Genomic DNA, 14,613 nt, shown 5'->3' with positions numbered 1-14,613 from the left:
GCCTCCTAGAGCTATGAATTCTAGCATTCACTTACGTAGCACAGGAGGAGTGAGCTAGCAGAAAGTTTAAGAGCAGAGACCATAGGGGTGTACTACTACCCAAGTTCAAATCCTGGCTATGCCACTTAGAAGACATGGGATTGTAAAAGAAAATAAAACCTCAGGATCCCTAAACTTGTTATGCCCAAGGGACAATTAAGCCTGGGAACTGAGTCATACAACACAGCCATTCGTTTTCCCCCCGAACAGATAGCTGTAATTTCACAGCCCTGTGTTGTGAAATAAGCCAGGTTCTCACAATGACAAAAGGCCATATAACTCTCTGGATGGCCTCCCTCACAAATTACAAGGAAATTCCTTGCTAGCCCCTAAATATTTCAGATGACATATCCCCCCTATAAAACAAGCACATGCCCATGGTAACCTTGGGTCTGCAATCTAAGTTTAACTCCTACAACCAAGTTCTGTTAAATCTCACACTGACAATGTCGATTACAAACTTATCTTCCCAGGTGTAGAACAAGGACAAGCTGAGATCAATCACTCCTCTGCCTCCCCTGAGATGTGTGTGTAATTGACTCTTGCCTCTACTCCCTCTTTTCAGATATTCACCTTATCTTACATAAAACGTAGACTTACTGAGCATGAAGGAGAGCCTTACCAGAATATAATCATTTGCCTCACTGCCTACCCTCCCTCCCTTTGCTTGCTCTGTCCCCTTAAATACTGAGTTCCCGAAACCCTCTTTGGAAACAGCACAGGTCACAGATGTTTCTGTGGCTTGTGTTTTTCCTGGGCATGTCCTCAAACTTTGGCTCAATAAACCTCTACTGATTGAGACATTTGCCTCAGTCACTCATTTATTGGTTAACAGGATGTTTGGTTGGTTACTTTCAGTGTAACATTTTCCACATCTGTACAAGTGGGTTGTTGGGAGGATGAAATGAATTAATATGTGTGGGGCCAGCTTCCTCAGAGAGTGGCCAATGCAGTCTCAGCCCCTGGCTCCTCCTCAGAGGGCCTCTTTTTTGGAGTAATGCTCTCTGGTTGCTGTCTTAAAATTTTTCCTAATTTTCTCTTGGAATCTGTGTTTTATAAGTGAGGTCTGATGAGCCAATGAGGCACATGCCAGGGACTTGGAGCCTCAACTCAGACGTGGTCCTGCCTCCCACTATGTCCCCAGGATGAATACTCTGCCACCTCCTCCCTGGCCCCCTGGGGCAATAGCCACAGGGAGCTAAGCACCAGGAAAGTGTCCTTTGGGAACATAGGTCACTGACAATTGGCCCAGCTTTCAGGGAATTGGGGGCAGCCTTCAAGCTGAATTCTGAGACTCAGCCTTACTGCAGGTGGAGAGAGTAAGGAGTCCTGGGAAGTGAGGCCCAGAGAGGTAAGCAGAAGAATGACAAGAACCAATTTGCTCTAAGCCAACAATAACTGCCCAAACAGTACAATTAACTACAGCAAGAATGGACCCAGATGGAATGAAGAAAAGTTTAGCACATCCCTCAAGATTAAGTATGTTTCTAAAACATCCTTCTTAAAGGATGCTTCTAGATGATCAAGAATCTCTAGTACAAGAAATCATCTTTGAGCTAACTACTAATGATCCCAAAGTAGCATAAACATTAGTTCTTAAAGCACTAGAGATTAAGAAATTCTAAATCAGATGGACATCAACAAGACAACAATATTTTGGGATTTTTCACTAAAATTTTAAAGGAGTCATAAACTTTTATGAAATCAACTGAGAATTCCACAACACCCATAAATTCATCTTATCAGTGATAATATTATAATAAGGACAGCAGTAATAAGTTTATTACTGAATAAGGTAAGGGAAGCAGAAACACTAAGGAGAAAAATTAAATGATGGTTGACTTCAATTAGGAAGACAATAGAAAAAGATTTAAATACTTTTCAACAGTAAATAGAAGACTGACAAGTTATTTCAATTTTAAAATATGCATCAAAAATATTGAAATTCCTGAGGGCAATATATTATGTTTTTAAGCAGTTTACACATTCTAATCCAACAAGTCAAGTCTACTTGGACACAGTAAATTTAGACTGATGGTTTATGACGCTCCAAACTAAAATCGGTATCATAAGACCATAAACAATCCCATTTATGTTTATTTTAATTATGATTAATGGTTTGCCATTTGTGTAGTTTTAAATGCTTTAAATAACCTGAACTTGGAATGAATCAACCTCCCCCTGAATTTACATGAAGTATTAGTTTTTTACCAAATTTGATTACAAATTATGAAAGCAAGTTTTAAAATTACCCTCCTTTGTTTTGTAATGGTAAACATCTTTTTTCAGACCTAAAATCATTCCATTCTGATATAATGGTAAACATTATTTTAAAATATTATTATTTTTGTTGTATGGTTAAATCCCATGGCTTTTCATATTTTGAAGAGTTCTGTAGCACTTTGGTAAATAAATATCAACAAATGATAAAGTTATCATGGAAATATAAATTGAAAGCCTTATTTATAAAAATGAAGTCATAATGCTTTTTCTACTCTTGCTGCTTTCACAACCAAATTTTTCTTTGTTGTATCACCTAATCAAAGTATGATGAGTGGGTCTCAGATTCAGCCTAAGAAAAGGAAGAAATGCTTATAGAAGTTCTAAAGCTAGAAAGATTTATCTACACAACTTACAGACTTTTTTGAGATATAATGTTTATAAAAATTTGGAAGAACCCAAAATGCCTAACAATACAGAACTAATTAAATATATCACATGAGAAAGTATGTATTTATTTTTTTATTTTATTTATTTATTTATTTTTTTTGAGACAGAGTCTCACTTTACTGCCCAGGCTTTGATCCCTGGGATCAAACCAGGAGGTTGGAGTGCAGTGGCATGATCTTGGCTCATTGCAAACTCTGCCTCCTGCATTCAAGCAATTCTCCTGCCTCAGCCTCCAGAGTAGCTGGGACTACAGGAGTGTGCTACCACGCCTGGCTAATTTTGTGTTTTGTAGAGATGGGGTTTCACCAAGTTGGCCAGGCTGGTCTCAAATGCCTGATTCGGGTGATCTGCCTGCCTTGGCCTCCCAAAGTGCTGGAATTACAGGTGTGAGCAACTGCACCCAGCCTGTAGGTATTTAAACTATATTATAAAACAGTATTTATTAACATGAAAATGTTTATAATCTATCACATGTTAAAAGCCAGTCATACATGTATTACATAAGGCTCTTTTTGTAAATTTGATAATGTGTATCTTTTTGGAAAGGAAAAACACTAGAAGAATTTGTTTTCACTCTTAATGGTGATTACCTTTGGGGAGATGGTGCTGTTGCGGGAATCAGGAGACTGGAGAGACCTCTGGGTGGAACAGGAAGATTTTATTGAATGCACTTAGGCCCCGTGGATTAACATCCAAAGGCTGGGCTCTGAACAAAGACAGGGCTTGACTTTTATACACACTTCTGAAAGGTGGTTGGCTAGTTTGAAACAAGTTTACAGTGGCGTGGAGTGCAGTGGCATGAAAGCAAGTGTACGGAAGCAGAACAAAGGCAGTTAATCAAACTGTGACAGGTTCATAACTCAGGCTTTCATGTGACTCTTGCTATGCGGCCCAGATGGCTGTTATCTCAGCTTGCTCAAGAGCCTTGCACAAGCTTATCTCATATCCTTCACTATGGTGCCTAGATGGCTGCAGTCCAGTCCTGCTCAGGCATGTCTCATGACCTTCACTGTGCTACTCAGATGAAAAACAGAAATTTACAGTCACTAGTTACAGAAAATAGGAATCCATAAACTCATAAAACTTGCAGAGCAGAGTACAACCACATGGAGTGGGGAGGAATTTTGTGGGGGACGTTTACTCATACCAAAGGAGAGAGGAAAATTTGTTTTTCTTTTTCACATTTCCTGCTTCAGTGCATTCTCTAATGACTTTTTCTCTTTCTTTCTTTCTTTCTTTCTTTTTTTTTTTTTTTTTTGAGATGAAATCTCACTGTGTCACCCAGGCTGGAGTGCAGTGGCGTGATCTCAGCTCACTGCAAGCTCCTCCTCCTGGGTTCACACCATTCTCCTGCCTCAGCCTCCCAAGTAGCTGGGACTACAGGTGCCTGCCACCACGCTTGGCTAATTTTTTGTATTTTTTAGTAGAGGCAGAGTTTCACCATATTAGCCAGGATGGTTTCGATCTCCTGACCTCGTGATCCACCCGCCTCAGCCTCCCAAAGTGCTAGTATTACAGGCGTGAGCCACCGCACCTGGCCTTTTTTTTTTTTTTTTTTTTTTTTTTTTGAGAAGGTATCTTGCTCTGCCACCCAAGCTGGAGTGCAGTGGTGTGATCTCAGCTCACTGCAACCTCTGCATCCCGGGTTCAAGTGATTCTCTTGCCTCAGCCTCCCCAGTAGCTGGGATTACAGGCACCCACCACCATGCCTGGCTAATTGTTTGTATTTTTAGTAAAGACAGGGTTTCACCATGTTAGCCAGGCTGGTCTCGAACTCCTGACCTCAGGTGATCTGCCTGCCTCGGCCTCCCAAAGTGCTGGCATTGCAGGCATGAGCCACCACACCTGGCCCCTTATGACTTTTTTGTTTCCTTATGAATGTCTATGCATAAGACACTGTCTGGAACATTAAATCATCTTGAAAGTGCATGTCTGTGGGATCATATCTGGACTCTCAGTTAACAGAAAACTTGTAAATAATTTACGATTTATCTTTTTAAAAAGTTAGAGCAGATTCATATTTATCCCTACAATGACTTATTGCTCACTTTATATTCTTCTACATGCTCTCTTAAGCAGGGAAGAAAAGGGTAAGTATAAGATACACTTGAAGGTTGGGCATACTCCTGGATTCTCACCTGTATATGTGTCATTTATGGCTATGTTAGATGCTGTTCCTTCTACTTGGAACCCATCTCTTCCTAATCACTCTCAGGTCTAAGCATAAGTGCAACTTCCCCCGGAAATTTTCCTTGATCCCTTGTGTTAGGCTATTCTTGCATTGCTATAAAGAAACACCTGAGGCTGGGTAATGTATAAAGAAAAGAGATTTAATTGGCTCATGGTTCTGCAGGCTGTATCAGCATGGCTCCAGCATCTGCTTCTGGTGAGGGTCTCAGGAATCTTCCAATCATGGCAGAAGGTAAAGAGGGACTGGGGGAGCAGGTGTGTCACATGGGGATAGCCAGAGCAAGAGAGACAGGCAGAGGTGCCACACACTTTCAAACAACCAGATCTCATGAGAACTCACTATCAGGGGGACAGCATCAAGCCATGAGGGATCCACCCCAATGACCCAAATACCTCCCCTCAGGCCCCACCTCCAACATTAGGGATTGCAATTTCAGCATGAAATTTGGCGAGTACAAATATTCAAACCATATCATCCCTATACATTTATATTAGGTGCTTTCACATGTCCCTGTAATATCCTCTATGCCCATATCAAAGCATTTATCACACTACTATTTTTCATTTACTTAGCTGTAATCCTTCCTAGAATGTGAGCTTCGTGGAAGAAAAAACTTATATCTTTCTTGAGATCACTGATCCTCAGTCCCTAAGACCATGCCTGAATCCAAGTAGATGCTCAATAGATATTTGTCAAGTGGACAAACAGATCTATCTTGTCTATTAGAGTAGGGGAAAAAAGATGAAAAGCCACTATGGGAAAGTTTCTCTCAAGATCTTCCCCAGAAGCCACTGACTAAAAAGGGCATGAAAGAGTATATTTCAGGGGACCAAATGTTCAGACCACATGCAGCCAGGAGAGGCTGAGGATAGGGCTGGGTTTACGAATAGATACAGGATGAACCAAAGAGTAGATGGAAAAGATTATTGAGAAATGGCCAACATAGGAGGTCGAATCAGATAAGGAAGATAAATTAAAGGCTAAGGAGACTGGGATAGTTGCTTTTCATCCTTATAAGTAATCCATGTGATCTTTTACGGCAGGGAACAGACTCTCGCTATTTGAGATTATAGCCATCCAGAGGAGGACTGTCAACATCACATGAGATTTAACCCCTTATAAAATTAGCCATTAGACTCTTGGGGCCCAATCTCTTAATGTTGCAAATGACTATTATAAAAACATGATTTTTAAAAATCATTCTGTCTCTGCCCTTATGGCATACACAAGCAGCAAATCACATCTGCCACATGAACTCCTAGGCTACAGGGTTAGAACACTGCTGCTTTCTAATCTTAAAAGGACAAACTGGGCTCCAGAACTGGGAATCTGGCAGTTTACATGACAGGGCTGCTGCAAATCCAGGAGTCTCGTCTCAGAGCAAGTTAGGAAAGCAGCAAGAGCTGTTCTCTCTAAGGTAGAAGCCAGCTTATGCTCATAATGGCATTGGTGTTTGTGAATATACATCTCTGAATCCAATCCCACCTCCAAGGAAATCCTCAGAATAGAAGAGAACACCTACCTCCATGCCCTGCATATGGAACAGCAGAGGTTTGGGTGTTCAATTCAGGGAAACAAATTATTGGTATGATTTATCATGCTCTCTAACTTGGAAATGCTTACCAGAAGTGAGTCATTTATTTCTAGATTACGAATACTAAAAGCTGCTTCTGATAAAATGAAGGACATGAAAAAAGACAGCTGGCAGAAGTATTTACCTTAATTATTATCTTTGATAATAAAAATATAAATAGAGACACAATTCTCTCAACATTCATCCAAGCTGTGGAAACAGGCCAGAATTAAGTGTAGCTATACAGTTGTCCCTCAATATCTGCGGGAGATTGGTTCCAGGACCCTCTGAAGATACCCAAAATCCAAGGATGCCCAAGTTTCTTTTACAAAATGGCAAAGTATTTACATATAACCTACGCACCCTATGCACATCCTCCTGTATACTTTAAATCATCTCTAGATTACCTATAAGACCTAATACAATGTAAATGCTATGTAAATAGTTATGTTGTATTTTTAACTTTTAAATTTGTTGTGTTGTTATTTTTTATCATTTTTAAAAAATATTTTCCATCCATGGTTGGTTGAATCCCCTCCTGGATGTAGAACCTACAGATATGGAGGGCCCACTATACATGTGTCTTTCCTGAAGAAAATCTTAAATCCAAAATACAAATGTTCAAAACAGAAAAATGTGGCTCTCCTTACCCTCTACTCTCAGTAGAAAAATATTAATGGACCCTGCAGAAAATACAGCAGGCACATAACCTTTTGGATTACCAGTAACCAAGGGAGATGAGGGGTAATATCTACAGTCTAAAAGAATACTTTGCTGCTCTGGTCAAAAAGGTAAAGAGACAGCTTCCTAGGTTCTGGTTCCAGTAACGGAGTAGCTTAAAATGTACTAATTCTCCCATAGATAACAATTGTAAATTCTGTTCAAAATGTTTAAAAAACCAACTATTTGAAGGCTTTTGAAAATGACCAAAGCAGGCAGAACTGGAAATGAGAGTATGTCTCTGAGGGAGGTGGCCAAGATGGCTGACAAGAAGCAGCTACTGTGCGTGGCTCTCATGGAGAGGAATAAAAGGAGCGAGTAAATACAGAACCTTCAACGGAAACATCCAGGTACTTAGATTGGAACCAATCAAGGAAACAACTCGACCCATGGAGAATGGAGAAAAGCAAGGCAGGATGACAGCCCACCCAGGAGCAACATGGAGCCGGGGGAACCTCCCCTGCTCAGGGAAGCCGTGAGTGAATGTGTGACCCCAGGAACCCATGCTTCTCCCACGGATCTTGGGTCAGGAGATCCCCTTGTGAACCCCCCCCACCAGGGCCTTCATTCTGATGCACAGAGCTACGTGGGGTCTTGGCAGAGCAGCCACTCAGACACCTGTGGAAATCTGGGAGCCATCAATACCCAGGCTTTCTGGGCTTCCTGGCAAAAGTAGCTGCAACTCTGACAAAGCAGGAGGTTAGACCCTCCTATATACCCCTAGGAATGAGGCTGAATCCAGGAGGCTGAGAAGTGAAAGTCTGCAGGCCCCACTTCCACAGCATCTAACAGGATAAGACCCACTGGCTTAGAATTCCAGCCAGTCCCTGGCAGCAGCATTGCACCTCCCTGAGAGGAAGCTCCCAGGGTGAAAGGCAGGCTGCCATCTTGGCTGTTTGGGCAACTTAGCCATTTCAGCCTTGGGGCTTTGGAGAATCCAAGGCGACCAGCGGTGGAAGGGATACCCCAGCACAGCATAGCTGGTCTACAAAAACGTGGCCAGACTGCTTTTTAAAGTGGGTCCCCGACTCCATTCCTCCTCACCGTCAGGACCTCCCAACCGGGGTCTCCACCCACCCCTGCCGGTGTTTTCTGGCCAACAGAGATTTGAAAGCTCCCTGGGACAGAGCTCCCAGAGGAAGGGATGCGTTGCCATCTTTGCTGTTTGGATGACTTAGCCATTCCAAGCCCAGTGGTGGTAGAAGTGGTTCCCCAGCACAGCAAAGCTGCTCTATGAAAATATGGCCAAACTGTTTTTTTTTTGAGATGGAGTCTCGCTCTGTCACCCAGGCTGGAGTGCAGTGGCGCGATCTCGGCTCACTGCAAGCTCCGCCTCCCGGGTTCACGCCATTCTCCTGCCTCAGCTTCCCCAGCAGCTGGGACTACAGGTTCCCGCCACCAAGCCCGGCTAATTTTTTGTATTTTTGGTAGAGACGGGGTTTCACCATGTTAGCCAGGATGGTCTCGATCTCCTGACCTTGTGATCTGCCCGCCTCGGCCTCCCAAAGTGCTGGGATTACAGGCGTGAGCCACCTCGCCCGGCCCAAACTGCTTTTCTTAAAGCAGGTGCACGATCCCATTCCTCCTCACTGGGTGGGACCTCCCAACCCGGGTCTCCACTCACCTTTGCTGGTATTCTCCAGCAAACAGATTTGAAACCTTCCTGTGTGGGAGCTCCCAGAGGGAGGGGCAGTCTTCTATCTTTGCTGTTTGGGTGAGTGTAAATTAGTTTGAATAATTTTGGAAAGCAGTATGGCAATTCCTCAAAGAGCTAAATGCAGAACTACCATTTGACCCAGCAATCCCATTACTGGGCATATACCCAGAGTAATATAGATTATTCTACCATTAAAGACACATGCACACGAATGTTTGTTGCAGCACTATTCACAGTAGCAGAGATATGGAATCAACCTAAATGCGTATCAATGACAGATTAGGTAAAGAAAATGTGGTACATATACATCATGGAATACTCTACAGCCATAAAGTAGAACGAGATCATGTCTTTTCTGGGAACGTGGTTGGAGCTAGAGGCTATTGTCCTTAGCAAACCAATGCAGAAACAGAAAACCAAATACCGCATGTTCTCACTTATAAGTGGGAGCTAAATGATGGGAACTCATGAACACAAAGAAGCAAACAACAGACACTGGCGTCTACTTGAGTAGGGAGGGTGGGAAGAGGGAGAGAAGCAGAAAAGATAGCTATTGGATACTGGGCTTAATACCTGGGTGATGAAATAATCTGTAGAACAAACCGCCATGACACGAGTTTACCTATGTTACAAACCTTCATGTGTACCCCAAACATAAAAAGTAAAAAAATAAAAAGAATATGTCTCCAGAAAGAAAGGAATTAAACTGGGTAAGATCTACATGTAGACAGGTATTTTTCCCTGAGGGTATTTCTCAGTCGCTAGCCCTACAACTAAAAATAGAAAGCAGTCTTACTGGCTTGAGGTGTCAATGGGAGGACTGGGAAGTTCCAGAATGGCTGATAATGGAGGGCAAAATTCTAGAGAAGAAGGAGCCACAGAGGGAGAAGCCCCCAAATCTACTTACACATTCCATCCAGAAGAGGGGCCTCCAAGGAGTACATTGGAAAGCAACAGCTGGAAGGCAAAAAAGTTGAGTAATGATATCAGCTGCTACCTACAAAAAGGGAGACAAAGTTTGGATACTGAATCCTGCTAAGTTAGAGGGGCTTTTTAAACAGCTTTGGCTTTCTATGGAAACAACAGAAGGGCCTTAGGAGTAAATAACCTGTGACCCAGGACTAATGAGTGAACAGCTGGGAAACATACATGTAATAGAAATACAAGGAGTGGAAAGAGAGGATGGAGAGAAAGAAATATTTGAAGCAATAGTGCCGGAGAATTTCCCAAAATTAATGACAGATACGAACCACAGATCTAAGAATCTTAGAAAACACCAAAGATAAATACCAAAAAACCTATACCAGAGCATATTGTATTAAAACTACAGAAAGCCAAAGAAAAAGAGAAAATCTTGGAAGAAGTCAGGGCAAAAAAGAAAGAACCCCACTTCACCTATAACAGCAACAAGAATAAGAATCACATCAGACTTCTCATCAATAACTATGCAAACAAGAAGACAATAAAGTGATAGATTTAAGATGTTGAAAGGAAAAAAAACAGAAAAGTATCCTTCAAGAGTGAAAGAAAAATGAAGACTTTTCAGACAAATAAATCTGAGGGAGTTTGTTGTCAGTTGACCTGCTTTGCAAGAAATGTTAAAAGAATTTCTCCTTCCTTCCTTCCTTCCTTCCTTCCTTCCTCTCTCTCTCTCTCTCTCTTTCTTTCTTTCTACAGTCTCCCTCTGTTGCTGAGGCTGGACTGTACTGTCGTGATCTCGGCTCGCTGCAACCTCCCTGCCTCGGGCTCCCCTGATTCTCCTGCCTCGGCCTGCCGAGTACCTGGGATTGCAGGCACGTGCCGCCATGCCTGACTGGTTTTTGTATTTTTGGTGGAGACGGGGTTTCGCCATGTTGGCCGTGCTGGTCTCCAGCTCCTGACCTCAAGTGATCTGCCCGCCTTGGCCCCCCAAGGTGCTGGGATTGCAGACGGAGTCTCGCTCACTCAGTGCTCAATGTTGCCCAGGCTGGAGTGCAGTGGCGTGATCTCAGCTCGCTACAACCTCCACCTCCCAGCCGCCTGCCTTGGCCTCCCAAAGTGCTAAGATTACAGCCTCTGCCCAGCCGCCACCCCGTCTGGGAGGTGAGGAGTGCCTCTGCCCGGCCGCCACCCTGTCTGGGAGGTGAGGAGCGTCTCTGCCCAGCCGCCACCCCGTCTAGGAAGTGAGGAGCCTCTCTGCCTGGCCGCCACCCCATCTAGGAAGTGAGGAGCATCACTGCCCAGCCACCCATCATCTGGGAAGTGAGGAGCGCCTCTGCCCGGCCGCCCATTGTCTGGGATGTGAGGAGCACCTCTGCCCGGCCGCCACCCCGTCTGGGAGTTGAGGAGCTCCTCTGCCCGGCCGCCCCGTCTGGGAAGTGAGGAGCGCCTCTGCCCGGCCGCCCCATCTGGGAAGTGAGGAGCGCCTCTGCCCGGCCGCCCCGTCTGGGATGTGAGGAGCGCCTCTGCCCGGCCGCCCCGTCTGGGAAGTGAGGAGCGCCTCTGCCCGGCCGCCCCGTCTGGGAGGTGAGGAGCTCCTCTGCCCGGCCGCCCCGTCTGGGAGGTGAGGAGCACCTCTGCCTGGCCGCCCCGTCTGGGAGGTGAGGAGCGTCTCTACCCGGCCACCCCATCTGGGAAGTGAGGAGCGCCTCTGCATGGCTGCTGTGCAATCTTCCAAGTGTGAAGTGACAGCCTTTCTGCAGGTGTACCCAACAGCTCCGAAGAGACAGCGACCATTGAGAATGGGCCATGATGACGATGGCGGTTTTGTCGAAAAGAAAATGGGGAAATGTGGGGAAAAGAAAGAGAGATCAGATTGTTACTGTGTCTGTGTAGAAAGAAGTAGACATAGGAGACTCCATTTTGTTCTGTACTAAGAAAAATTCTTCTGCCTTGGGATGTTGTTAATCTATAACCTTACCCCCAACCCCGTGCTCTCTGAAACATGTGCTGTGTCAACTCAGGGTTAAATGGATTAAGGGCGGTGCAAGATGTGCTTTGTTAAACAGATGCTTGAAGGCATCAAGCTTGTTAAGAGTCATCACCACTCCCTAATCTCAAGTACCCAGAGAAACAAACACTGCGGAAGGCCACAGGGACCTCTGCCTAGGAAAACCAGAGACCTTTGTTCACATGTTTATCTGCTGACCTTCTCTCCACTATTATCCTATGACCCTGCCACATCCCCCTCTCTGAGAAACACCCAAGAATAATCAATAAATACTAAAAAAAAAAAAAAAAAAAAAAAGAATTTCTTCAGGCAGAAGGAAAATGATATATGTCAGAAACTTGATCTGACATATATTTTCAGAAAGGAAGGGCATTTGGAGAAGGAATAAATGAAGATAAAATAAAATCTTTTATTTTTTATGTTCATAATTGTTCTAATAGATTATTGTTGGTTTAAAATAATAATAGCAACAATGTTTTAGGTGATTATAATTTGTGGGTAAGTGAAATGATTGATCTTACAAGGCACAGTAAGAAGAAACGACATATTCTTGTACAAGGTACATATACTACCCATGAACTGGTATACTGTTATTTGAAATTGGACTTATATTAATTGTAAATATATATTGCAAACTCTAGGACAAACAATAGGAAAATGTTTTAAAAGAAGATAATATATATTGCTAAGAGAGGAGAGAAAATGGAATGATATAAAATCCTTAAAACAGAGAAGTCAGAAAAAGAAGGGAATGTTTTCTGAAAACAAAAACAAAAACAAAAACAAGTGCCACAAATAGAAAACAGTAGCAAATATGGTGGATATTAACCTAAATATATCAATAATCACTTTAGAGGTGAATTTTCTAAATATATCAATTAAAGGACAAACACTGTCAGAGTAGATTAAAAAAACCAAGACCCAAGTAGAGGCTGTCTAAAAGAAAACCATTATAAATATAAATATGCAAATAGATTAAAAATAAAAGAATGGAAAAAGATATATACACCTTGCTAACACTAATTGAAAGAAAGCTGGTGTACCTATATATAAGTTTTAGACAAAGCCAACTTTAGAACAAAGAAAATGACCAGGAAAAGAGAGACATTAATGATAAAGGGGTAAATTCTCCAAAAAGACATAATAATCCTTAGTGTGTGTACACCTAACAACAGAGCATCAAAATATATAAGGCAAAAACTGATGGAACTGCAAGAGAAATAGACAAAGTCACTATTATAGTTGGAGACTTCAATACCCCTCTATCAGTAATTGATAGACGCAGCAGGCAGAAAATCAGTATAGATGTGGTTGAGCTGAACAATAAACCATCAGTCAACTGAATTTAATTGACATTTATAGAATACTTCATCCAACAACAGTGGAATACACATTCTTCTCAAGCTCACATGGAATATTCACTAGGATAAACCACATCCCAGTCCAGAAATCACAACTTAATCATACAATAGAAATCATACGAAGTATGTTCTCAGAACAACATGGAATTAAACAAAAAAATCAATAACACAAAGATATATAGAAAAATCTGAAAATATTTGGAAATAAAACCACACACTTGTAAATACACATGGGTTAAAAAAAGGAGTTTTGAGAAATTTTAGAATATTTTGAAAGAAGGTAAATGAAGATACAACTTATCAAAATTTGTGGGGTACAGAAAAAGCAGCGCTTAGTGGGAAATTTAAAATAGTACAGCCACTCTGGGGAACAATTTGACAATTAAAAAAAGAAAACTAAATAAACAACTACCATAGGATCCAGCAAGAACACTCTGGGGAACTGCACTCCCAGAGAAGTGAAGACATGTTCACACAAAAAGGATCCTTGTGGTGATGGAAATGTTCTGTATCTTCACTGTATCAATGTCAATATCCTGGTTGTGATACTGTACTACACAGATTTGCAAGATGTTACCATTGTGATAAAGGGTACAGGGGATCTCTCTGTTATTTCTTACCACTGCATGTGAATCTATAATTATTTCAAAATAAAAAGAATTTTATTAAATGACTAAAAAAAGGATAGAGGTGTGGGTTACATGGCTATATGGACTGGTCAACACTCACTGAGCCATATCCTTAAGATCTGTACATTTCACTGTATGTAAATTTTATCTTAGTTTTTTAAACAAGATTTTGTTTCTAAGTTGCCTAACTTAACTGCTTTTCAATATACCAGGGCAAAAGAGTACTCATAATAAAGAATTTGAGGCACAGTCTGCTAGTCACATTATAATTTCTCATAAATACTTTTGTGTGTTCCTTAGAGACTTGAGTCAACCTAATTTTAACAGAGCTAAATTGATATTATATTAAATTATATTCAACTCTCTAATCATATATAGTCTTAGCTCCAGTTTGAGTCACATTCTTTGCAATGTATCAGGAAGATCCCTCAATATCTTGAGTAATTCTTCCCTTTTGCCACTTATATTAGTAAGTATATTTGTGGAACAATGGCAATGGTTTATTAGGAGATGGGATATTTCATAAAAGCAATCATTTAATATTATGAAACAAAACTGCATACTATCAAATATAATGCTACTCAAAGCACTACACTCATTTCATTTATGATTAGGTATAATTTACTTATAAATTATAAAATATTAAAGCCATACTTAATAAGCAAAATAAATTAGAAAACTAAAAATATTGACTGAAAAAAAGGCCACGTTTTTATCAAGGTCCTTAGTCAATGAAAGCTTCTTAGTTTTTATTACGTAATTAGTAACAGAATTTCAGTATTTCTTGAAGCCTAATTTAGAGACTCTTTTCTTAAAAGATGAGACTTGCGTGTAATTATCAGAA

General features: G+C 41.6%; 1 annotated feature.

Moving 5' to 3' along the window:
* Positions 3,276–3,896: a transcriptional cis regulatory region, noted in NCBI's record as "candidate enhancer chr18.1136 targeted for multiplex CRISPR interference". NCBI's record gives its function as "positively regulates SKA1 gene expression with high confidence in K562 cells {active_cell/tissue: K562}" and the evidence as "EXISTENCE:mutant phenotype evidence [ECO:0000015][PMID:30612741]".

This window comes from Homo sapiens, chromosome 18, assembly GCF_000001405.40.
Source record: "Homo sapiens chromosome 18, GRCh38.p14 Primary Assembly".
In the NCBI taxonomy this organism is placed as follows: domain Eukaryota; kingdom Metazoa; phylum Chordata; class Mammalia; order Primates; family Hominidae; genus Homo; species Homo sapiens.
The sequence above is the reverse complement of the archived record's forward strand: the minus strand, read 5'-3'. Positions and strand labels throughout refer to the sequence as shown.